The sequence below is a fragment of the Homo sapiens genome, chromosome 3 (genome assembly GCF_000001405.40).
Source record: "Homo sapiens chromosome 3, GRCh38.p14 Primary Assembly".
NCBI classification, from domain to species: domain Eukaryota; kingdom Metazoa; phylum Chordata; class Mammalia; order Primates; family Hominidae; genus Homo; species Homo sapiens.
The window spans coordinates 37,801,536-37,825,510 of record NC_000003.12 but is presented as its reverse complement, the minus strand read 5'-3'; the positions used below and the strand labels follow the sequence as shown (position 1 = coordinate 37,825,510).

The 23,975-nt window shown below is 45.7% G+C and overlaps 1 protein-coding gene and 1 long non-coding RNA gene across 3 annotated transcripts in view; one reads left to right on the top strand and one right to left on the bottom strand.

Moving 5' to 3' along the window:
- ITGA9-AS1 (ITGA9 antisense RNA 1) overlaps positions 1–23,975 on the top strand; it is a 108,092-nt gene that overhangs the window by 36,270 nt on the left and 47,847 nt on the right. For both annotated transcript variants that reach the window (NR_110531.1, NR_110532.1), the window contains one exon: positions 4,411–4,497. This is a non-coding gene — a long non-coding RNA (ITGA9 antisense RNA 1). The remainder of the gene's footprint in view (positions 1–4,410; positions 4,498–23,975) is intronic.
- Positions 2,004–23,975, bottom strand: part of ITGA9 (integrin subunit alpha 9) — a 371,367-nt gene continuing 349,395 nt past the window's right edge. The window contains exons 27-28 of the mRNA NM_002207.3: positions 21,569–21,688; positions 2,004–6,620 (exon numbers count right to left, since the gene is read on the bottom strand). Coding sequence (NP_002198.2) covers positions 6,522–6,620; positions 21,569–21,688 — 219 coding nt within the window. The 3' untranslated portion in view covers positions 2,004–6,521. The remainder of the gene's footprint in view (positions 6,621–21,568; positions 21,689–23,975) is intronic.

The window sequence follows — 23,975 nt, the reverse complement described above, 5'->3', positions numbered from 1 at the left end:
CAGCTCAGGGATGGCAATATCTCATTATACACACTTTAGTTGCATGTATACATAGAGTGAACGGACATGATCTTAGGGACAGGTGGCTTTGCTGATGGATAGCTGCCAGTCGGTCTGATAGTGCAGCCTGAGCTCTAAGTAATTCTTACATCAATTCTGTTACTAAACAGTAACCTGAGGACCAGACAGACTTTAAGGATGAGAGGTAATCTGGTGAGCTGTAAAACTCCTGATTGAATAGGAAGCAGACTTCACTAATTAGTGATTTTTCTTCCTCTTAAATTTGTATCTTTTGATTCTTTTGAGTTTGTCGAGTCCATTTCCTGGCTTAGGAAAACAGGTTGGGCAACCTCAGAGAAACCTATTTAATTAGCATTAGTAATGGTGGCAGGTTTGTTAAGCCAGGAAGCACTGGAATTAAAATGCTTGAAATTACTCACTGGACCATTGTCATAAGTGTCAGGCTCATCAATGCTCTTTGCTGCAACAAATCTCTTTCCAGACCTACAATGTGGCATCTCTTTTGGCTTAGCAATTTATAGTCTCCCAGATATAATTTTATTTACAAGTAATCTGCATATGTTTCATTGTTACAAAATACATGCTCACTGTAGAAAACGAATATTCAAATAAAAACAAAATAAAACAAAGCAAAAGCCTGACAATCTCACTTACCTAAAGACAATCATTCTTAACCCATTGGTGTATATTTTTTCATAACTCTTTTATACTGTGTGGTGTCTATGTGTATGAATTTTAACCATCAGGCAATAGAAGAAATTTTAATAAATCTAAAAGCAGTAACGAAATAGAAAGCAAAACCCAGTAGACTTGATTGGTACAGCCAAAGGCTTACTCTTGAAAAACACCAAGAAAATACATAGATCTTTATTGGTCTTGTCAGAGGCGTTTGAACCAGAGCAACTCCATCTTGAATAGGGGCTGGGTAAAATAAGGCTGAGAGCTACTGCGCTGCATTCCCAGGAGGTTAGGCATCCTGTCACAGGATGAGACAGGGGGTTGGCACAAGATACAGGTCATAAAAACCTTGTTAAAACAGGCTGTTATAAAGAAGCCAGCCAAAACCCACCAAAACCAACATGGCTACAAGAGTAACTTCTGGTTCCCCTCACTGCTCATTATGTGCTAATTATAATGCATTATCATGTTAAAAGACACTCCCACCGGTGTCTTGACAGTTTGCAGATGCCATGGCAACGTCAGGAAGTTACCGTAGTATATGGTCTAGAAAGGGGAGGAACCCTCAGTTCCGGGAATTGTCCACTCCTTTCCCTGAAAACTCATGCATAATCCACCCCTCGTTTAGCATATAATCAAGAAGTAACAATAAAAATGGGCAACCAGCAGCCCTGGTCCTGTTCTGTCTATGGAATAGCCATTCTTTTATTCCTTTACTTTCTTAATAAACTTGCTTTCAGTTTAGGGACTAGCCTCGAATTCTTGATAGCCCAAGATCCAAGAACTTGCTCTTGGTGTCTGGATTGGAACCCCTATCTGGTAACAGTCTTGTCTAGGGAAAAAAAAACACATAAATGAACAGCATGTGGAATATGAACAAGAACATAACTATTAATAGACAGATGAAGGAGAGTGAAAACCTAAGAGAATACAATATTTGTAAATGTGTAAGAATGTTATCAAAATGCTTCTGGAAAAATGCTTAGTAACTGGCAGGCACATGTGAAAGAAGTCTACTGATAATAAGGAATCCATACCATTTAATTTGGGCACATTTATCTCAAGATCAAGAACCTAGGTGTAGCCCTGGGCCAGGGGAGTCAGGGTGATGCAGAGAGGAGGTGGTACCTCTTGTGTGGAGGCCAAGGACTGCAGACAGTTCAGCCACATCAGGTGGGTTGTTCATGTGAATTAGATGGACCTTGATGTTCTCTTTAATGCTCATGTTGTATTACATTGAAACCCTAGCTTCAACACTTTAAAAAGTTCTTATTAGCAAGTAAATTACAGATTGAACTTCTGAATTGTTTGCAGCCATTTTTTATTCCAAACATGTATGTTTTTGTAAACCTGACATTTCCCAAACAGTGCAAGTGAATCAGAAGTGACTGCTTAGACTTTAATACACGTGACATTGTGAGGCAGCACAACCTCCCCCCACCCACCAAAATTCCTCAGTGGAAATGTACATGGATGCATCAGTAAAGTTCTGGAAATGCAGATAGCGTGGGTGCCTGCCAAGCAATTAATCACTCGTAAAGCTTTTAAACTCACTCTGCCAGTCACACCGTGCACATTAGAATTAAAACAACAACATCAACAAAGAAAAAACCTTAACACAGTCTGAAATCTAGATCATTGTGCTATAAAGCATTGCACGATGTTGGGAAATTTGTTCACTTATTCCCCCCATGTGCTGAAAATTCAGAAGACATCCTAGAAGTTTCATTTTGGCCCTACTGGCTCTGTATTCTCCCTTCAGCCACTCTTTGAATATTCTCCACTGTGTATATTATTATTCTATATATCAAAATATCAGCTAAAAGTGTGCATACTAAAGCATTTCTGAAATGATGCTCACTTTCTGCCTTTTGTCTACTAAAGGCTCCAAGTGACAATCCTTTCCAGCACCTCTAAATTTTGAGAAGTTTGAGCCAAGTATACAGTTCACCAGATGTACGTTTCACACGTAACCCAGACATAACTGCATGCACCTGGCCATAATGCCTTACCCAAAAATAAAAGTCATAAATAACCTTTTAAAAAGCCACCATGCTAGGGTTCAACAGGTAGCATACAGCACACGGATCGTCTGGGGATCTGCTATGCTTCCGCATGGAAAACAGGATGTTCCCAGGAGTGCTGTTGGGTTTTTGTTTTAAACCTCATTGCCTTTGGCTCAAGGGCAGTAGCTACATGATTTGGTGAAGGAGGACTTCCTAGTGGATCTTCTACAAGGTCTACCATACCTCTGAGTACCCATGATGCTGACAGTTTTCCTAAAGAACTGCCTGAGGAAACCTCAGTGCTGAGTTATTCGGAATGGATGCCTGTCAGTTGCCACTAAGCCAGTGGACCCTGCCCCTCCTGCTAGTGTCCCCTTGTTTCTAAACATCATGGCCTCTTCTTTGTGACAGCTCTATGGCCCACTTGGAGGATGTTCCAAACTCTCCTGAGTCCTATGTAAATTAAGCATAAGCAAAACTTTTTTTAAAAAAGGGGCACTGTTTTACTCCATTTTTACAAAGGTCCTTTTTCATATTTAAAAACCATTTCAGTTCTCTGAACAGTTGGTTAAAACCACATTGAAGATTCAACTAAAAGCTGAAGGAAACTGAAATAATACTGCTCAGGAGAATATCTTATAGGATTCCACAGTGAAACCATGGAAGCAGGAAGGGGAGAAAGTAGAACATACTGTAGAATTTTCAAATAATATTCTGGAAGGGTAACACAGATGTACTGATCCACCCCATCTGCTTCCCCTGAGAGCATAGAGAGGGCTTCTGAGCTGGGAAGGAGCTTGTGAACTGCCCAAGTTGAGAGAGCGCTAACGATATGCTTGACTTCTCTATCACTGCACAAAATGCTTAACTCCCCAGTCCCCGTAGCCCACCTGCTACTCAGCACGATCAGACCAGCAGAGGCATCATCCTTCCCCAGACAGGTTCCTGGGGAGGCTTTCAGTATCTGCTGGTGGTGATGCCAAGGCTGGTTTTCTTAAAACCTGCCTTTATAAAGTCTTAGTGACCTCCTGGGTATACAGCTGCTCATGTGGGTCCACCCACGCAGAATCAAGCAGAAGCAAATAGGTCCCAGCTCTGAGACTGCCCACAGGAGTCTACCCTTCTCCAGTGGGGCTTTGCTGGTGGGCAGAACATGGGCCTGCGAATCACCCTTCTACACTGTCACCAACGCACCTACACCCCGGCAGGAGGCAAGTTAGTTGCTCTAAGTGCATGTGGCCAAAGCTGTTGATGGTGCTGTTCCAGAAATATCACCTAAGAATCCTAAATGATTCATTAAAGAAAACATGGCATTATGAACAAGAGTCCATCAAAGGAAAGCTGCAAATGGCATCCCATTCAAAAAGTCCACATGCCACTGCATTTTGCCACCCTGAGGCAAAATGTCCCTGAAGTGTTCTCTGGGGAACCTCCAGCACCTTGCACAGTGCCTGACACACAGCAGGGGCCTCATAAATGGCTGTTAATAAGTGATAAAACCCACCCAAGACTGCTTTTCTTGCTGCTTTTGATAAAACTCATAAGCGAACTCTGAGTGACAGCTGCTTTCTTTGCCTCGTCCTGCTCCCTGTAGCTACCTCTGTGCCTCCATCCCACAGTTAGATGCAACATCCCTGATTTCCAGGATCAGCTTAGTTCATGCCATTGACCCTTGATTTTTTTGGTCTATTCCCATGTTCACCAGGAAGAGAAGCATGAGGTTACATCTGTAATCTCCCTGCAGCAGAGTCAACTGCATAAGAAACCAAAAGACACACCTGCTCCATGCCAGGTTAGTACCCACCCATCACCCTCATAATTTTGCCAAAACTTTAGATATGTTTGTGAGTATTAGCCAAGTATGTGTATTAAAAATCTGTCTTCCCAGAAGTTGAGTTTGATGTCTTTTTGACAATGTTCACGGACTCCCAACGTGTTAGCTTCCAGTAAAAAAGGTGCTATAAGAAAGACCCTTGGTTTTATAGATTGTTTCATCCGCACTGGATGCCATGTGTATGTAGCTGGCACTTTGGCAGGCTGTAATAAGCCATTAAGACTCCGTTAGACCCTGCTCTTAGCCCCATGTTTTCTGTCTTATTAGATGGTTATCCATCAGTAGGAATAGCAGCCATAGCTGTTAACAGTTATTGAGTGATCACTATGGGCCAGGTCAGTGCTGAGCATGCTACATCCATCATCTCATTGCCCTTTCAGAAAATCACACTGCACTCAAAACTAAGCAGCACAGTGCATCTGACAATATATCTACTGTCAAACAGAGAGCTTGGATACTGAAGGCCGTAACTCAGCACTCACACATTCAGGGGGTGGGGAGGGGCAGTGTTCTGCTCAGATCCTTTGCATCATTTCTTTTGCATCATTTCCCTGTGTCTCCCCTGGCTGAGGATGCATCTGTGGTTGTCCTTTAGAGGACTGTCCTGAGCTACTGGAGCCATTACGCCAGCAGGAATTGAGAATAAAACGTTTACATCTCCTCTGGGTGCAGCCAGCCCCTTGATTCAGGTTGGGACACCTCTGAGGCCTAACTTTTCCTCCGGAGTTCCCCTGATCAGGCTGAGGCTAAACTTCATGGAGCTCTCCCTGAAATGACAAACATTTGCCTGGCTTTGTCTCCTTCCTTGTCCTGCTTCCCCCACTCTCTTACTGGTATCCCCTGGGAATACTTCCTTAATAAGTTACTTGCACACAAATCCTTGTTTCAGGGACTGCTTCTTGGGAACCCAATCTAAGACATTTTTTTTAAAACGGTTAAATGTCCTCTCTGGGAAGGAATCTGCAATCACCACTAGCTGGGACAGCCAGGGTGGTAGGGGAAATGAAGATCTCTCAATGAAAATTACCACAAAAAGGCAATCCCTCACAGCATTCAGACCCAATTCTTTGCTTAGGGGACAAGGATTTAGTCCTTGTGGTGTGTGAACTCTGATGCAGGATGTCCAGGATGAGACGCCATTCTGAGGTTTACCAGATGACCACATGGCATTGCTCCAAGCTTTCATCCATCATCTGTGTAGAAGCAGGGTGACATGTCTGCTATATAAAGGTGATACAGAGCAGACTTCTTGCTAGGGATCAGGTTTTCCATCCAAATTCTTGTTGGGAATCTTCCAATGAAAAGTACATATGAAAAAACACTTACAGTTCTTTAGCACACATTAGCATGTGACTCCACACTTGATCGAGGCGATAAAGATGTGAAATGTCTTCGGGGTCTTGCCACACCCACAGTTTATATGCACCACTGCCAGCCTGGTGGATTCATTACATGAGGTTTCTTCAACTTATTTCATCTGTCTTTTTAAACAGCAAGTTCCAAAGTACGGTAAGATTTTCATCCTTTAAAATTTGTATTCATGGACATGTACTTCCAAGATTTTAGGCCAGATATCAGTGCTTGAGTGAATTATATAACTATTTAATAGAAATAATAAAACATCGATACAAATATAAAAGACATAATCAGTATAAAAGGCTTATATTTATAAAAATACTTTAGGTAACAGTTTTCCCCTGAGGGTTGACCATGCGTGTTGCATCCATAAATATTGCTCGGCTCTGTAGCTCACTCTCCAAAGTTCAGAGTTCATCTTTAAAGGAAGTGGTGCTGGCCCCGGTCGTGTGACCTGGCCGAAGTGGCTGCCTCAGGCTGGCACCTGGGCTTGATAGAATGAAGAAGAGAACAGCATCAGTGGGGCCTCCGAAAAATCTGGAGAAGATTTTTTTCTTCCAAATATGGAAGATACAAAGACCAAGGATGACAGGCTAGTGATCAGGTCATGTGACTGGTGTGGCAGCTCACTGGTTTTTCTGGACCCAGTCCCAACTGTCTTCATTCTCTTTCCGGTTCTTCTCAGCTTCGATAATTTCTTTGTACCTTCGGCGAAAGAAGCCCATCTGAAAGGCAGAAAGAAAGAGAAGCTGAGTTAGAAGTGCTGAAGAATCAGCCATTGTGACCCCAAGGCAGTCTGTCCCTGGGTAGGTGTGACCTGCACTCACAGGGCTGGGGAGGCTTGGAGGACCCCTCGGATTAGAGAAAACACTGGCAAGAAAAACATCCTGTGGAGACATTTTTCAAAATGCATGGACTTCCTGCGGGTGATATTACGTAAGCTGTTTGTTCCTTCTAAAATGCATCTGGTGTAGTGTTTTCCAGACTGTGTGCTGGGGAATACCAGTTACTGAGAGCTGTTCAAAGGTGTTTGGGAGTAAAAAAAGGTTTCATGGCTGGGCGCAGTGGCTCACGCCTGTAATCCCAGCACTTTGGGAGGCTGAGACAGGCAGATCACTTGAGGTCAGGAGTTTGAGAGCAGCCTGGCCAACATGGTGAAACCCTGTCTCTACTAAAAATACAAAAATTAGCTGGGCATGGTGGTGTGTGCCTGTAATCCCAGCTACTTGGGAGGCTGGGGCACGAGAATCGCTTGAACCTGGGAGGCGGAGGTTGCAGTGAGCCGAGATCGTGCCACCACTGCACTCCAGCCTGGGCGACAGAGTGAGACTCCATCTCAAAAAAAAAAAAAAAAAAAAAAAAAAGGTTTCATGGTCAAATAAGTTTGGGAAGTGTGGCTTTTTTTTTTTTTTTTTTTTTTTTTTAGAGAGTCTTAATGTACAGTGGAAAGTAAAGGATCCATTACCATTAATTCCGGTGGGGAAAAAAACCAGGGACCTGACATTCCCCAAGCTTATTTGGCTTTTGATAAACCTAGTATCTTGAGAGATCTTAGCCATCTGTGGAATAATTTAATAAATACTGCTCTCACGTGAGAGGCTGTTTAAAGCGTCTGCAGGTCTGCATTCTACCTTGCTGTCATTTACATCTTTCTCTCAAACCCATGGAATTTGTGCTGTCTGTGCACCACAGTCAGCAGCACATTCTCACTTAGAACGGGCGTTTCATCCTGACCCAGGATGGCAATTTCCTCTAGCTTAGTTCTGAAAAGACCCTGCCCTTTGATGTTACATTTGGTCTTACAACTTTTCACATATGGTAAGACAAGTGTCTAGTTTTTCTCACATAGTCATCACCACCAAACAGTGAAGCAACGTTTGTAGCCCAAAGCTTACCTTTCCTCCCATGCTCTGAGAGACTCGGCATCTCTCGTCCTTGGCTCACTAACATTGGTGGGCTCTGTTTATGAGGTCAGACATTCCTCTCTGCATCTTCCTTTAAACAAGGCTGACTGTATCGGGTGTACAAATACCCCAGCTCCCTCTCTCCTTGGGTGGGATAACCCTGAGGTGTACGTTCTACCAGTTTCCCCATGGAGCTTGCCTGCAGAGGTAACCAGCTTGATGACAAATCTTTTATTGGCTTCCTTCCCTGCTCTCCAACAGTTTTTCCTGAGATCACCTTCCAAATAAATGACTTGCCCTCAAATCATTGTTTCAATCCCCTTGAATAGAGGAAATCAAACAGAGACACACACTTGACCTGGTGCTGGTAGGCTTGCCACACTGCAGGTTGTGGTACCATGGTATCATCAGCTTGCAATTCCCAAGTCATACTGGAAAACCCTTAAGACTCTCTGCAGTCTGCTGCCAACAGTGCATGCACATATAAGACGTGTCCTACACAAATCGTGAAGCAAACCCAGCTGTCATGGGCACATCAAATGTTTTTGTTGTCTGTGTATTTGTCCTCATGCTTCTTCACTGTGAGCCAAACATCCAGGGAAGCATCACAGCCACCCTGATGGTCATAAGCTCCCCTGAAGAAGGGAAGGCAGGTGGAGCTGAGGAGCTGTCTGTTGCCACCATCTTTCTACTTCCCTAAAGGGGGTTTATTGGCCAAGCCAAAGACGAGAACTGTCAAGAGAGCCAGCAGGTATCTTCACCCACGTTGCCAAGGAGATCCTGAGCATTCACCGTGAGGGGAAGTCGATAAGGTGGTGCAGTTTGAATGACTGGGAAAGAGCAGAAGCTTTCTTAGAACAACTGGCAAGAGTCTTGTGTTCTGAGCTTCAATCCTCAAGGCCAGTTTTGTAAACAGATATTGAGTTCCTGGTGATTTCAGCCCTGGAGGTTTCTTCCCAGCATAAGACCACATTCATCAGAATGCCATGTTCTGACGCCCCCACACATATACTTTTCTCTCCTGAAACCTCTTCACCTTCTCCCCTCTGCAAGAAAAGGTGCTTGGCCAGAATTTTCTGGATAATTAAGAAAAAGTCATAGACATCATCCCCACAGCACACCCACAGAAGGCCAGAAAAACGGACCAAGACTGAATGGAAATCTAAGAAGCTACTGCTTGAAATGTCATTCTTTTGCGATAAAGATGTGGTTGGCTAAGAAAACATGGCCAGATGTGGCTGGTCACATGCCATGAAGGAGAATGTAATCATGAAACTGTGGAAGGATGTAACAGGGAAATAGGATTCTCTAGCACATACCTTTGGCTGCTGATGTTGTAATGTGTCAATAATCCCAGGTCACTCAGTTGTAATTCCAGAGAAGTCACATTTCCCTACCATGGCACTATCAAGCAGAAACTTAACAGTCTGCCCCCTTATTATCTCCTGCATTTGTCTTAGGACTCTTTGAAGGCAGGCTTTGTGCTTTCAATCCCCAGTACTCAGCATCTCACCTGTCCTTGGTACCAGCGATAAATTGCAAAGATGCCCACATACCCTCCACACCCTTTACCATGTGACTCTCCAGCTCTTCCCATCGTGAGGTGGAGTCTATTTTCCCAGCCTTGATTCTCCACTGAGACTAGCTTTGACAATTGGATGAGAGGGAGGAGATGTTGTGTCTGTTACACAGTCCCCAAGGGGCTGTGCACACTTCCAATTACTTTCTCAGAACCCTGCCCTGCTTCCACACAAATGCCTATGTCTAACCTGCTAAGAGACCAGTTTTTTTTGAAGCCCTCCCAGACTAGCCAACTCCCAGCTGCCCGCAGAGGCACATGTAAGTCTCGCTGAGCTCAAACTGCCCCACTGAGCTCAGTCCAAATAGCCAACCCACAGAACTGTGACCTGCATAGATGGATATTGCTTTTAAGCCGCTGAATACTGGGGTGGTTTGTCAAGTAGCATAAGTTAACTGGTACAGACTCAATATTTTTTTTGCTGACTTAATGAATCAGACAGACAGCTGATAGGGCTCTAGATTTAAACAGCATCAGTTAGTGTGCCTTGCTGAACTGGACTTTTCACTTTTTTTTTTTTTTTTGAGACAGAGTCTCACTCTGTCACCCAGGCTGGAGTGCAATGGCGCCATCTCGGCTCACTGCAACCTCTGCCTCCCAGGTTCAAGTGATTCTCCTGCCTCAGCCTCTCGAGTAGCTGGGACTGCAGGCGTGTACCACCCTGCCCAGCTAATTTTCATATTTTTAGTAGAGACGGGGTTTCATCTTGTTGGCCAGGCTGGTCTCAAACTCCTGACATCAAGTGATCCGCCTGCCTTGGCTTCCCAAAGCGCTGGGATTACAGGCGTGAGCCACCGCGCCCGGCCTGAACCAGACTTCTCTTGTTCATCTCTAAGAGCAAAAGCTGGCTCACTTTCTCATCACTATGCTAGTGTAAGGATTTGACATAGACAGTGTGTTAACAATCTGGAAAGGATTTAGAGCACCTGAACTCACTCTTACATGTGGCTTTCATGTGCTCAAGTTTTTATGTATGCAATTCTTGCTAACAACAAGGTGAAGGCACTGTCATCTCTTGCAGGCACCCGGAAGCAAGCTTCTTTCTCTCAGTGGAGTGGTGTCAGCATTAGGCCTGAAAATCACCCCCACCCACCCCTGGCTGAAACAGCCTTGCAAGCTCTATGCCCCACTCTAACACTGCAGGGTCTCCAGTCCTGTTCCTAACACAGCCTATGCGTAATCTCTTGGATGGGAGATCAGAGCTACCACTGATGTATGTCTTCCTTTTTTTAGAGTCTGAAGACCATTTCTTAAAACATAATGCACTCTCATGGCTAGGGAGTTGTAGGTACAGTAGTGCAGGTGCTACACTGCATTTAAGGGGCTGGGGGATACCACTCACATCACAGATATCATGTATGTGTATAAGTTTATTATAACTGTTTTCCAACAGATGGCAGTAGAGTGTCTTGTTCTCATAAAATCAGAGTTTTCTGAATTTTTTCTGACAGATGGAAGTAAAGAGTCTTTAGGAAGCGGTGCTATTTACTATTATAGTTTGCACAAAGGTACCCTATAGTCTAGTGGTGGCTCTGTCAAACTAATATTGTTTCTTTTTTGGGGGGGTGGGGGATGGAGTCTCGCTCTGTTGCCAGGCTGGAGTGCAGTGGCACGATCTTGGCTCACTGCAACCTCCACCTCTCGGGTTCAAGCGATTCTCCTGCCTCAGCCTCCCAAGTAGCTGGAATTACAGGTCTGCACCACCAGGCCTGGCTAATTTTTATATTTTGGTAGAGATGGGGTTTCACCATGTTGGCCAGGCTGATCTTGAACTCCTGACCTCAGATGATCCGCCTGCCTTGGCCTCCCAAAGTGCTGGGATTACAGGTGTGAGCCACCGCGCCCAGCCTGGGAAGGTTATTTTCTGGCTTCGAGCCATAGTGTCTTCGTCTCTGCCTAAGAGATCAATGGGATTCTCAGACCTCTTCCAGCCCTGAAACATCATGACAGCTTTTTCTGTTTTCCCCAAAGTGAATTCAAGGCTCTAGACTGTGGGCCACACAGCTGGGTACTCAGGACTCACACTAAGGGGGAACAAGGCACAGAGTCTTTGTCCCATCTCAATTTTTCTCAAAGATTTTTGAGAAATTTTTTGAAAATTCAATTTTCAATTTTTAAAAATCTGTTAATTTTTGAAAGAAACAAATAAAACAGAATTTAATAATATTTTAAAAGATTATGAGGTCTTTGAATTCACAAAACACATGCAGTTATGTTCACTTATTTAACTTTTATAGTCTTTTGAACTGTGGGATTTTAAGGTCAATTTTACCGATGAGGAAAGTAGGCAAGGCTTGATGGAGTTGAACATGCAGCTCTGGATCAGATGTCTTATAATAAGTGTCAGAATTGAGGACTTGCTAAGTAAGTCTAGGACTCTTAACTCATGTAACATAGAGACTGCCTGATTACCTCATCAAGAACAGAAAAAATATCAGTTCTCTAAAAATAAAAACTCAAAATAAGCAACCCATGAGAACAAGTCACCGAAAGTAATTTGCAAGAACCAGAAAAAAGCATGTTATCTTCTAAATGCCCTAGAGGCACAATATTATTCCCAACAGTTCTCAATAAATGCAAGTCAATAAATAAAGAACAGGTCTTCCTAGCTAACATTTTCTAATAGAATGTCAATCAGGAATGAGGAAGTGAAAAACTAAATTTAGCAAGGTTTTTGTCATCCCCTTAAGTAAAGATAATGACTTCAACTAAAGATAATGGCTAAAGATAAAATATAAAAACTAAAGACTAAAGATAAACACTAAACTAAAGATAGTGACTCTGAATTTGATGATCTAACAAGTACAAATAATCCCCAAGTTACCATACCTCGACTTAACAGTTTTTTGACTTTATGATGGGTTTATTGGGGTATTAAATGCATTTCTGACTTAAAATATGATAAGTCAAGGAGCACCTGTAGTTCCTTTGCTTAAGAGATACATGGTCTAAATCTGTAACTCTTCATACACATGCCAGGAAACCCACGAGCCCCTTCAGCCTGCTATAGTACTTCATAGCCAGTCCTACCTATTCCATTACTGCCAGGACCCAAAGTCCCCCTACACTTGGGAAATTAGCACATCCCAAGGTTAAGTAGGCCTCCTTCAGACATACACACCCGCTCATGTGAGCACGCATGGGTGCCTTGGGGAGAGCTTTGAGAAACACTGGGCAAATCTCTGTTTTTGTTGCCAGCTGAGCCCACCCTGAAGGTGCTGGGAAATGATTAATGATGGGCTAAGCTGGATGCCCAGCAGCCCCACACTCACTTCCAAGCCAATGGAGTCAATGTTTTTCTGCATTTTTTCTGGAACCTTCCAGTGCTTGCTTCACCATTTGAGGGGCAAGCGGCTCTGTTAACTGTTCTATCTGTAGCAGAAGAAACATAGAAACCCTAGAGGAGGTGACTCAAGCCAAGCTTTGCTTGGCTGGAAGCCGAAGGAACAGTGTGCTTTCTGGTTTTTGTGTCTGCTGGTCCTGCAGCTCCAAAGAGCAGCTCCCTGAACCCTCGTAACAGACATACACAATTTTCTCATATAACCATGTATCCAAAAGCAACCAGAAAACTCCTAGGGAAACAACAGATTGCCCCAAACAGCCTTACTTAGATGGGTGCTGCGTGAGGCATGAGGCCTGACTGAGTTCTGGGGTATCCACCCTGCAGCAGCAGCCTCTTCCTCCCCAGCCCCCTGCAGGGTGAGAGGGACCAGCTGGACAACACCATGACATCTGGTCTCTTGGGGGATCCTACCCACTCCGCGGCCTTTGGGTTGCTTCCTAGACAGTGATTCTGAGGACCTGGGACAAATTCCTTTTTTGGACTAACTCAAGACTTCATGTTTATAGTTCTCTTCAGTTACTTGACTATTTACATAGCATGTCTCTGTCTCGAGATGTCGACAGTGCAACATCAGCCCAATATTTACTCCCAAGCATAAACAAGCCCCCACTGAATGTCATTGGCACATGGTTCTAATTGAGGCAGTGTGAAGGGTGTGTGTGCAAGCACATGGGCATGTGTCTGTTCATTTTTTTTCTTTGGAGGAGAAGCAAGGATGCCCTCCCAGCCCAGTTTGAAGGGAAGGTGATAACCCAGTGACCTCTGGAGGGGTTGCCAAACCTTACACATTCTCTGAGCCATTTCACAGATTTGTTTTCTAAGTGTTTCTGCCTTAGGTCAGAAGTAATGCTCTCAAATAAAAACCATGAGCCCAAAGCCAGTCCTAAAGCAGCAGGCTCTTGGAACAGCCCCAGCTGATAGAGGGTTTGAGGCAGCCCTTTTCAGAGGGCTGGCAAACACATTCTGCAGCCTGTCTCTTTGCCACTTGAGCAAGTAGGTCCTGGGCCTCCTGGGAAGACATGGCCATAGGGCTGGCCAAGCAGTCTCACTTCCCTTTGCTCCAAACCATCTCGGTTTGCAAAAGGGTCAAATGGGAGAGAGAGGGTCCTTGGTTGACAGCAGTGAGGGAGGATATGGTCTCTCTCCTTCACTGAGTGGTGGCCTGTATGTTTTGGCAAACTGCAAACAAACAAGGACAGAGCTGGGGAGGGGAGGAGGGTGAGAGGGAAGCAGAGAGAAAGACAGGGAGGGAAGAGCTTGGAGCCCTAAATAAGGGAAGGGGGGTGTCTTTCTTCAAAAGGAGAAACACCCCATCATCTTCATTCTTTCCACAGAAACCAGGCTGGCTTATATAAGCTGAAGGTATTTCTTAAAGGTGCCAGTCACACACAAAGTTGTTATCCCTCCTGCACCTCTGAGCAATTTAACTTTCTCCTCCTAAACAGGCCTTTATGATTGTCTTGAAGAGATGCCAGGCCCAGGCATCTTCCAACCCAGTCAGGAGCTGCAGGAAAGGAGAGGGGACTCATTTGGACTTTTCTTCCTTTAAAAGCATTTCATATTTCAAAGTTTTCTTCCTGCATGGTGGTTTGGCTGGCTACTGTAATCCTCGCACATAAAGTTTAAATTATGGCTCCCAGTGTCTGCTAACATCTCAGCTTTGGGAAAGCTGATTAGGATCCATTTCAGAATTTGAAGAGCGGTCTGGTTAGCTTGGGGCCCTCATTGTGGATTTTGTGTCAGAGCCAGGGCCTGCTGCCGCCAAGCATGAGAAGATGCCTGAGATGCCAGCAGATGGGCTTTCTTGAAGGCCGCCAGGAGCTGCACAGGGTCAGAGGCAGATGAGGGGCTGGTCTGGCTGAGCACATCAGCAGGGAGCCTGGAGCTCAGCTCTGGAAAAGACACTTGCTGACACGATAAGGGCTTTCTGATTTAGGTAAACAGTAGCACCACAGTGCATGCGTAGGTGGGGCCAGGGGCTGGTGGCACAGGCCAAGTCCTGCTCACCTTCAGGGCTTTGCTGAAGCTGATTTTCCTAAAGGTCTTCAAGACTAGGTGAGGGCTCTGTTGTTGAGGCCAGGCATGGTGGCTCACACCTGTAATCCTAGTAGTTTGGGAGGCCAAGGTGGGTGGATCACTTGAGGCCAGGAGCTCAAGACTAGCCTGGCCAATATGGTGAAACCCTGTCTCTACTAAAAATACAAAAATTAGCCAGGCATGGTGGCGCACACCTATAATCCTAGCTACACAGGAGGCTGAGGCAGGAGAATTGCTTGAACCCGGGAGGCGGAGGTTGCAGTGAGCCAAGACTGCACCACTGCACTCCAGCCTGGGTGACAGAGTGAGACTCTGTCAAAAAAAAAAAAGAAACAGACTAGGTGAGGGCTGTTGTTTATTTATCTTTGTCCCTTTGCCCAGGGCCTGCCACCTAGTAGGGACCTACTACTCTTTGCCTAGTGAAGGTGCTGGCCATCTTGCAAGCATAAAGCATGCAGACCTTCAGGCTTGTGTGGTGCTGTGAATGCGGCGGCATGGCCAGCTGCTCTGCTCAGCTTTCAGTACCATGTCACGATTCACGTTTATGCAACACTTTTGGGAACAACCACTTTTGGCTCCGGACCTCAAGGCAGCAGCAAATGACCATAGGTAGCAATGCCAAGAGCTACTCTAGAAGGACATTCAAGAGCCACGGTTCTGTAAAGGGAAGAGGACTTCAACACTGTCCCCGCCAACCGCTGTCTTCAAAGGCCCTCAGTGAAGTGGGCAACCGGTCAGCAGTGGCAGCTGGGTAACACTCAGTGGCTTTCCCCTTGAAAGGAATGGAGGAAATTACATATGGAATATGGCAATAAGCCGGAAACATTAAGACCTCCCGTATAAGTCAAATATGAGGCTGGAGTTTAGACCATCAATTAACAGGTCTTTGGGTTACTGCACCGTACTGTCAGTGTGATACCGAATCACTATTCACTAAACATAATGTATCATTCTTAGGTTGTAGACATGGGAATCAGAGTTAACAAGAGGTCTGTAGTTGAAGTTCTAGAAATACGTAGGTCTTTAAAATAATCCTACATTTCAATTGCCCTTTTAACCTCTTATAAAGTCTTTTGAGACTTTATAAGTCTCAAAAGTCATAGTTAGCCTTTTGAGAAAAAAAAATTTTTTTCCCTAAAGAAATCCCCTCCACCAAGCCCCTTATCACATTACAACACTGCCTCAACAGACTGCACACTCTGACATAAATGCTGCACCAACATTTTCTGTTTGCCTCCTCTTCCCCAAAGGAGTTCAACTGTGATTTTATCTATGACACTATGGGAGAGAGATGAGGTTTCATCTACTTTAAAATAGAACAAAACTTCTAGTTAGGCGAATTTTTGTTTGTAATAGTGACTTTTAGGGAAAAGACACGGTGGCTCACACCTGTAATCCCAGCACTTTGGGAGGCCAAGGCAGGCAGATCGCTTGAGGCCTGGAGTTCGAGACCAGCCTGGCCAACATGGTGAAACCCCGTCTCTACAAAAAATACAAAACTTAGCCAGGCTTGGTGGCAGGCACCTGTAATCCCAGCTACTCAGGAGACTGAGGTAGGAGAATCTCTTGAACCCAAGAGGTGGAGGTTGCAGTGAGTCAAGATCATGCTACTGCACTCCAGCCTGAGTGACAGAGTGGGACTGCCACAAAAAAAAAAAAAAAAAGAAAAGATTTTGCCCATATTTCGAACATCATGTATGTGACAGATAAAAGACAGCCACTAAGGCTTTGCCACTCCTCTCATTGAGAAGCAGGGTCTATTTCCCCTCTCTTGAACCTGAGCTGGCATATGACTGCTTTTACCAACAGAATAAATGATGCTATGCCAGCTGTGGGCTAGCATTTAAGACAACTGGCAGCGCTCTCTTTCAGCCTAAGCCACCACATAAAAAGTCAGACCATCTGCTGGAAGAACCACATGGAGAGGCCCTGAGTCAACATGGAGAGGAAGAAGGACTTGACTGAATCCAGCCTTCCAGCTGTCCCTACCAAGGTGCCAGGCATGAGAATGAAGCTGTCTTGAACTCTGAAGACCAGCTTAGCCACCAGGTAAATGCCACTAAGTGACCTCACTCAATGTCATGTGGGACGGAAGAATCACCCCGCCAAACCCTTCCTGGATCCCTGACCCAGAAATTTGTCAGATGTAATGGTTGTGAAAAGCCATTCAATTTGGGGGCAGTTTGTATGCAGCATAGCTAGCTGGTATGATACAACAGCCTGCAATTCAGGCAGCAGCAGCACTAACAACGATGAAATCCTGCAGGAGCGAACTCCTTTGGGGTGCCTGCCTAATTGTTTTCTTTTCTGAGAGTCTCCTCCCCAGTATCCCCTAAACCACCATCCTGCATCTTTCTCCCCCACTAGCCTCCGTGGGAGACATATGACCCACATTGGGCCAGGTGGATTCTCTCCCTCCCAACTCCCTTCCTCCCTTCCACAGTTGATGGGAGTAGACATTTGACTAGAGCTGGGCCAGGCAGATCCTCTCTCCCAGATATGTGGGACCAGGAATCAGAGGTGGCTGATCATTCTGCGTCTGTGGCTAGTAGTCCTTGAGATGCAAGTTTGGAGGGGCTGGAGGCAACTATCTCCCTACGATGTGTAGGGAAACATAGAGAAAGCTGGTCTGCGGTGGGAAGAGAATGATGCGGATGTGTAGCCAAGTAGAGAGAAGGGGCTTCCTTCTGTTGACCTTCCTTCTGCTGGGTGGGGGCGACAGGGAGTGAGGCAAGCCCAGCCTTGTCTCCTAGCCTCCTCTAAGCACCACTCACTCAGAAAGCCCAACACCAAGCTCCTCCTCTTGCCAAACTAATTCGCATCTTGCCTTCCCCACCCTGATTAAGGGCACCCATCCTTTGTCTGAACTTATCTTAAGGAGAGACAGCTATTCTTTTTTTCTCCCTGACCTCTCAAGTCCAACTGGTCAGCAAACCCTGCCTGTCCTACCTTGACCCATGGCAATGGCCCTACTCTTGCCCCCACACTGTCCCTAGATCTCTCTTTCCTTTTAGAGACAGGGTCTTGCTCTACCACCTGGTGCAGTGGTATGATCATAGCTCACTGCAACTTCAAATTCTTAGGCTCAAGTAAACCTCTGGCCTTGGCCTCCCAAAGCACTGGGATTACAGGCATGAGCCACTGCACCCAGCCCCAGATCTCTCTCTCGACACAGATCTGGTCATGCCACCGCTCTGCTCACAGACCTCCCATGCTCCCCCTTTGTCCTGGTTAGCAGTGGCCTTCACAACTGTGGCAGACGGTCTTGCTGCAGGTCAGTGACTGCCCTGACAAACTTTACAAGCTGCTCTCCACAAACCCTGCTTATTTTCCCACCTCTTCCTTCCCTCTGGATGGAATCTTCATCTACCCTTCCCTGCCTGGAAAACTCAAACCACACTAAAGGTCAGACTCGAATGACACCTCATTTATGAAATATCCCCTGGCTTCTGTGTGCTAAGCGCAGTGCTAAACATTTTCCTTGCATAACCTCTACATACCAAACTGGAGGTGATGGTCTCCTTTTTACAGAGGAAGAAACTGAGGGTCACAGAAGGTAAGCAGCCCCCTTAAGGCCTCATGTCAGGCAAGTGTGAGAGTCAGGATTGCTGCCCACAGCTGTCAGCCTGAAAGCTGCTCTCATCTACCACACTGTTCTCTGTGACCTTTTAATCCTCCCTCCTCCTTGGGGGCAAGGGAGGGGGACTCATGGCACCTTCTTCTCAGTTTCCAGAGCAGTTACTGCGCAGCACTCACCACCCTCCATTATGCCTGCAGGTCTATTGCTAGGTGGTGAGGCGGTCAAGTGCAGGGAAGGGCACAGTTATTGCTGCATCCCAGTGCCTAGTCCAGGCAAAGCAAGGACTGGGGCAAAGTAAGCGTTCGAGAAATGTGAGCCGAAATGAGATACTGCTCTGGGTTGACTAGCAAAGCTGTTGTGACCCAGGTGGCCTCATTCAACAGCCTCCTCAAAGCTTTCCTGCCACCCGTTAGTTACGGCAAGCCCTGGTCTGGGCACACGGTGTGTCCCTGGCGGCCGTGACTGCCCTCTCCCTCCCAGTCTGTGGCAGAGGGCAGAGTCTGCCTTCTCAGGTCCTGGCTCTTTGGATCCCACACAGCTGGGTGACCTCAGGGTTCTCCCCACCCATGACAGCATCTCCTGCAACCATGCTTTTTTAAACAAACACAGCAAAAGCAAGGCAAAGCAGGTGGTGGGCTGGAGGAGGCAGGGGCTGTGCAGAGGAGACAGGACACCCCTGAGAGGCAGAGCCAGGTGGGGCGGCCAGAAGGAGGGCATGCAGACTATAAGGGGAAGTGGGGCACGGCCACAACACTCCCCACTCTGTGCCCTGTCTGGTTCCACACACCCAGCCATAAAGGACACAGCTCCTCTCATTTTAAGAGCCCATATAAAGGCAGAAGGAAGTCACATACACACACACACACGCGCACGCACACACACACACACCCACACACACTCATGCACCAAAGCCCTCAACTCAGCAAGAAGCCTTGTCTTTTCAGATGCCAAACACTGAGCAGGCTTTGTTCTCCACCCACAAACCAGAGGCTGTCTCAGCAGGAAGGAGTTGGAGTTGGAGAAAAAGGAGAATTAAGAATCTATCTGGCGATGTGGATTAAATAAACAACAAATTGGCAGATTGTTTTTAAAAGGTAACATCCACTATTGGCAAACAGACATTTCTGATACACTGCTTGTGGGAGGGTGAATTGGTATGACCTTTCTACAGGGCAATCTGCAATAGTAATAAAAGGCTTAGGCCGGGCGGGGTGGCTCACACCTGTAATCCCAGCACTTTGGGAGGCTAAGGCGGGAGGATCACCTGAGGTCAAGAGTTCAAGACCACCCTGGCCAACATGGCAAAACCTGGTCTCTACTAAAAATACAAAAAAAAAAAAAAAATAGCTGGTTGTGGTGACAGACGCCTGTAATCCCAACTATTCAGGAGGCTGAGGCAGGAGACTTGCTTGAACCCGGGAGGGGGAGGTTGCAGTGAGCTGAGATCACTCCACTGTACTCCAGCCTGGGAGACAAGAGCAAAACTCCATCTCAAAATAAAAAAATAAATATAATTTTTAAAAAGCTTAAAATATACACTCCTTTTGATGGCAATTCTATTTCTAGGCTTTCAACCTAACGACATAATGAAAGATTTGTGCAAATATTTGGCTCCAGGGATATTTAATGTGGCACTGTTAAAAGAAGTGTGAAACAGAAGCAACCTAAATTCCAGTATCAGGGGACTGGATGAGTAGACTGCAGACACTCTACAGCTTTAAGATGTGCTGGAAACGTGCTTTGAACAATATGGAAAGATGTTCACAGTACTGTCTTCAGGGAAAAATAGGTATACGTTTTTCCCAGATTAATAAATCAAATCCAGGCCAGGTGCGTTGGTTCACACCTATAATCCCAGCACTTTGGGAGGCTGAGGTGGGAGGATAGCTGGAGGCCAGGAGTTCAGGACCAGTATGAGAAACATAGTGAGACCCTATGTTTACAAAAAAATAAAAAAATGAGCCAGGCATTGTGCATGCCTGTAGTCCCAGCTACTTGGGAGGCTGAGGCAGGAAAACAGCTTGAGCCCAGGAGTTAGAGCTATGATTGTGCCACTGCCTTCCAGCCTGGGTGACAGAACAAGACCCCATACTTAAAAAAAAAAAGGAACCCACTGCTTTTAAATTTAGAGGTACTTCACCTGAAAATATGCTGAGTATATTACTGTAAAATTTAACTAATACACTATTCAAAAATAAGTTGATGTTATGAGAATGCCTGGTCTATATCTATATATGCAGAGAAAAAGGTCAAAATGAGGCAATACTATGCTCATCATGGTTATTTCTGGGATGTGAACTCCTGGTGTTTTACAACTTTTTTTGGTAATTGATATGTTATGTTAGGTCAATACATACATATTATTTTGTAATCCCAAAGAAATTAGTTGTCTTATTTTAAAATATCCATCTATAATACTCTAAGAGGCTGTTTTCACCTACATCTGAAATTTGTAATTCTAGAGAAGTATGGACTTTGGTGTCAGGAAGTTGCAGTTATGGTCCCTGGTGCTGTTTTGGAGCTGGGGACACAGTGGAAACAAGGAAGAGACAGACCTTCATCAGCTAAAGCCTCCAATACCATTACTGATGAATAGAGAGGCTCTGAAGGAAAAGGACTCCGGGTCTCTGAAAGGAGAGTGTGAGGCAAACAAATCATCCTAGACATGGGGATGAGGACACCCCTTTCTCCTTGAGAGAGTGATGCTTGAGGCAGGACAGGTCTGCACCCTGGGCCACCTCCAAATGAACCACCATGAGGTTGGGAGAAGTTATGATGAAGCTACTCTGGACTGTAGCCCATCTCAGTTACTCAAGTTTTCTGGTCAGAAATCTTCCTCACATTCCTTAGAGGAAAAGAAGGAAGAATTGTTCTATAGTTCGCCTTCTGATCTTTTTTAAGCAAATGGGAAATCGCCCCCTTCTGGCAGTTGCTCCCCAGACTTCTGTTTTGGAGTTAGGTTCTCACCATCCTATGTTAGGGCTCTAAGGGAAGGTAAGAGAAGAGAGAACTGAGACTTTTGCCTTCACTCTGAAGTGGTCCAAATCCTCAGTTGTGAATGGCCTCAAGGGGAGCCAAGATTCCACTCCCTGCCTGAAGGGTCACTGTCCTTCACTGTACCGGTGCCATGAAGGAAGCTCTAACAGGATACTCCTTCTTCCCTGGAAAGGCAGGAGAGCTGGGCATCTATGAGTGGGGACCCCAGGGGGACCTGCAATCACCAGACTCACCTTCCAGAGCAGCACGGCCAGCAGCAGGAAGATGAGGATTCCCACCAACAAACTGATGGCGATGATCCACCCCACGACGTAGCCACGGGGCTCCAGATTGTGCAGGGCCTCGAAGACCACCTAGGAGGCAACGCAACAGTGAAAACATTTCCTTTTTTATTTTTTTTTTGAGACAGAGTCTTGTTCTGTCACCCAGGCTGGAGTGCAATGGCACAATCTCGGCTCACTGCAACCTCTACCTCCTGGGTTCAAGCGATTCTCCTGCCTTAGCCTCCCAAGTAGCTGGGATTACAGGTGCCTGGCTAATGTTTTGTATTTTTAGTAGAGACAGGGTTTCACCATGTTGGCTAGGCTGGTCTCGAACTCCTGACCTCAGGTGATCCACCCACCTCGGCCTCCCAAAGTTTTGGGATTACAGGCACGAGCCACAGTGCCAGCTGAAAACGTTTCCTAAACAGAAGTGCGCAGAGCATGATGGAGCCCAGCCTGGGCTTGACATTTGGAGAGAACTACAGAGAAGTATCCAGACTGTTGTTACTAATAAATAAATACATAAGCTCCGCTGAACGATTTTCTGGTTGCAAACTGATGGATTTTTCACTGGCACCTGAAAAGGCACTTGAAATCCAAGCCCTAGGTCTTGAAAGGGTTGTAATGACAACAACCCTGATTTAAATATCATGAAGTGAACAAAAGTGTACTGAAAAACTTAGAGGACACACTATGTTCTTGATTCAGAACAGATAACGACAATGTACCTTTTGTTTCAGCTTTGAAACAAAGAACACGGGAGTGCTCTGCATGTAAGGCAGCTCTTCTTTCCAAGTGTTCAGCTCAATGTGTCACTTAGAGGAATTATTTGATTAATGCCAGTTTCCCCAGTAGACTGTGGACCCCACTAGAGTTAGGACACAGTCTGTCTTGGGTCTCATGGTAGGGCCTAGCACATTGGAGAAACTCGTTCGAGAGGCTGTACTGTAGTTTCCCATGGGAGCCACAGCAATTGGAGCCCATGTTCCAATGAGGCAAGTTTTCCCAACTTTTCCTGAAACCCAGTGGTATGTGGAACTGGCTCATATCAGCTCATGAGAGGCAACTGTGCATCTCTTCCTAACTCCGTACCTAGTGACATTGCAATGGCAGTTTGAAATGGGCTATGGTGGGAGTATTTGGCAAACAAATCAGGGCACCCCTACCCTCCTGCCAGAGAACTGATTGTTAAACATGTATCAGTGCTCACTTCTGATTGTCCCCTTCGGCTCTGCTTTATCCCCACTGGTCACAGGGGAGTTTGGTTTTGCAGAATTCAAAGCATCTATTGCGTCTTCTGCTACCAAATAACTCTCCCCAATACACCACTGTCCCATTTAAGCTCCTCACTGCAAAAGACAAAAAAATCACAGCTCTGGGCAGTCATTCTCTCCTTTGGCTCCAGACAGGCTGGCCAACCACAGGTCTTTCTCCAAGCTTTGCCATCTCTTTGGAATGTCCATTCCCCTTTGGGAAAGTCTTTTCTAAACCTAGTTCAATCCTCTGTCAAGAAGCCTCACTGATCGCTGAAGCCCACTGGTCCAGCCCCTTGCTCAAGCCCAAGCAGTGACTGGGCACAATACTGATGTTATAATGCCTAGCACTGCTTATTTAACCTTTTTAGGGCCTGGCTTCCATCCCTCTCTAACACTTATTGAATATTGTCTGTGTCAGTTTATGCTTTTTTTTGCAATCTCTTGTCTAAGTCATACAACAGCCCTATGAGGTCTTCCACACCCATTTTACAGAGGGGAACATGGAGGTCCAGAGAGGATATTTGCTCTGGATTGTGTAGTTCAAATGCACAGTCACGATTTGAACCCAGCTCTTAGCCAACCCCAAACCCCCAAATCTGAGCTTGTCATCACCACACTGCAGTGCCTGGTTGACAGTGGCCTTCTTTATAGGCTACCTGTCAACTGAATGAATTACTTACTGGCTCTTCCCTGGTGATAAGGAAAGAAAATGAGACCACCTCTACTTCATTGCCTCCATTCCCGCAGCTGGGGTAGGAGAGTGTGTGCGTGTGCCAGGGGATGAGGCAAATGGACACACAGGCCACCACAGTTTCTGAGCCTCAGTTTTCTCATCCGCAAGACAGGAGCAGAACAGTGCCTTCCCAGAAATTGAAAAGGGGTAATGCACACAGAGTCCCCAGCATAGCATCTGGCACAGAGTCCGCCCTTGACAAATGGAGTGTTCCTGTTAGCATCATTGTAGGGAGTTTTTTTTGAGGTTGTGCATGGCTGGCTACTTTTTAGTTTTTATTTTATTTTTTGAGACAGAGTTTCTCTCTGTCACCCAGGTGGAGTGCAGTGGTGCAATCTCAGCTCACTGCAACCTCTGCATCCTGGGTTCAAGCAATTCTTGTGCCTCA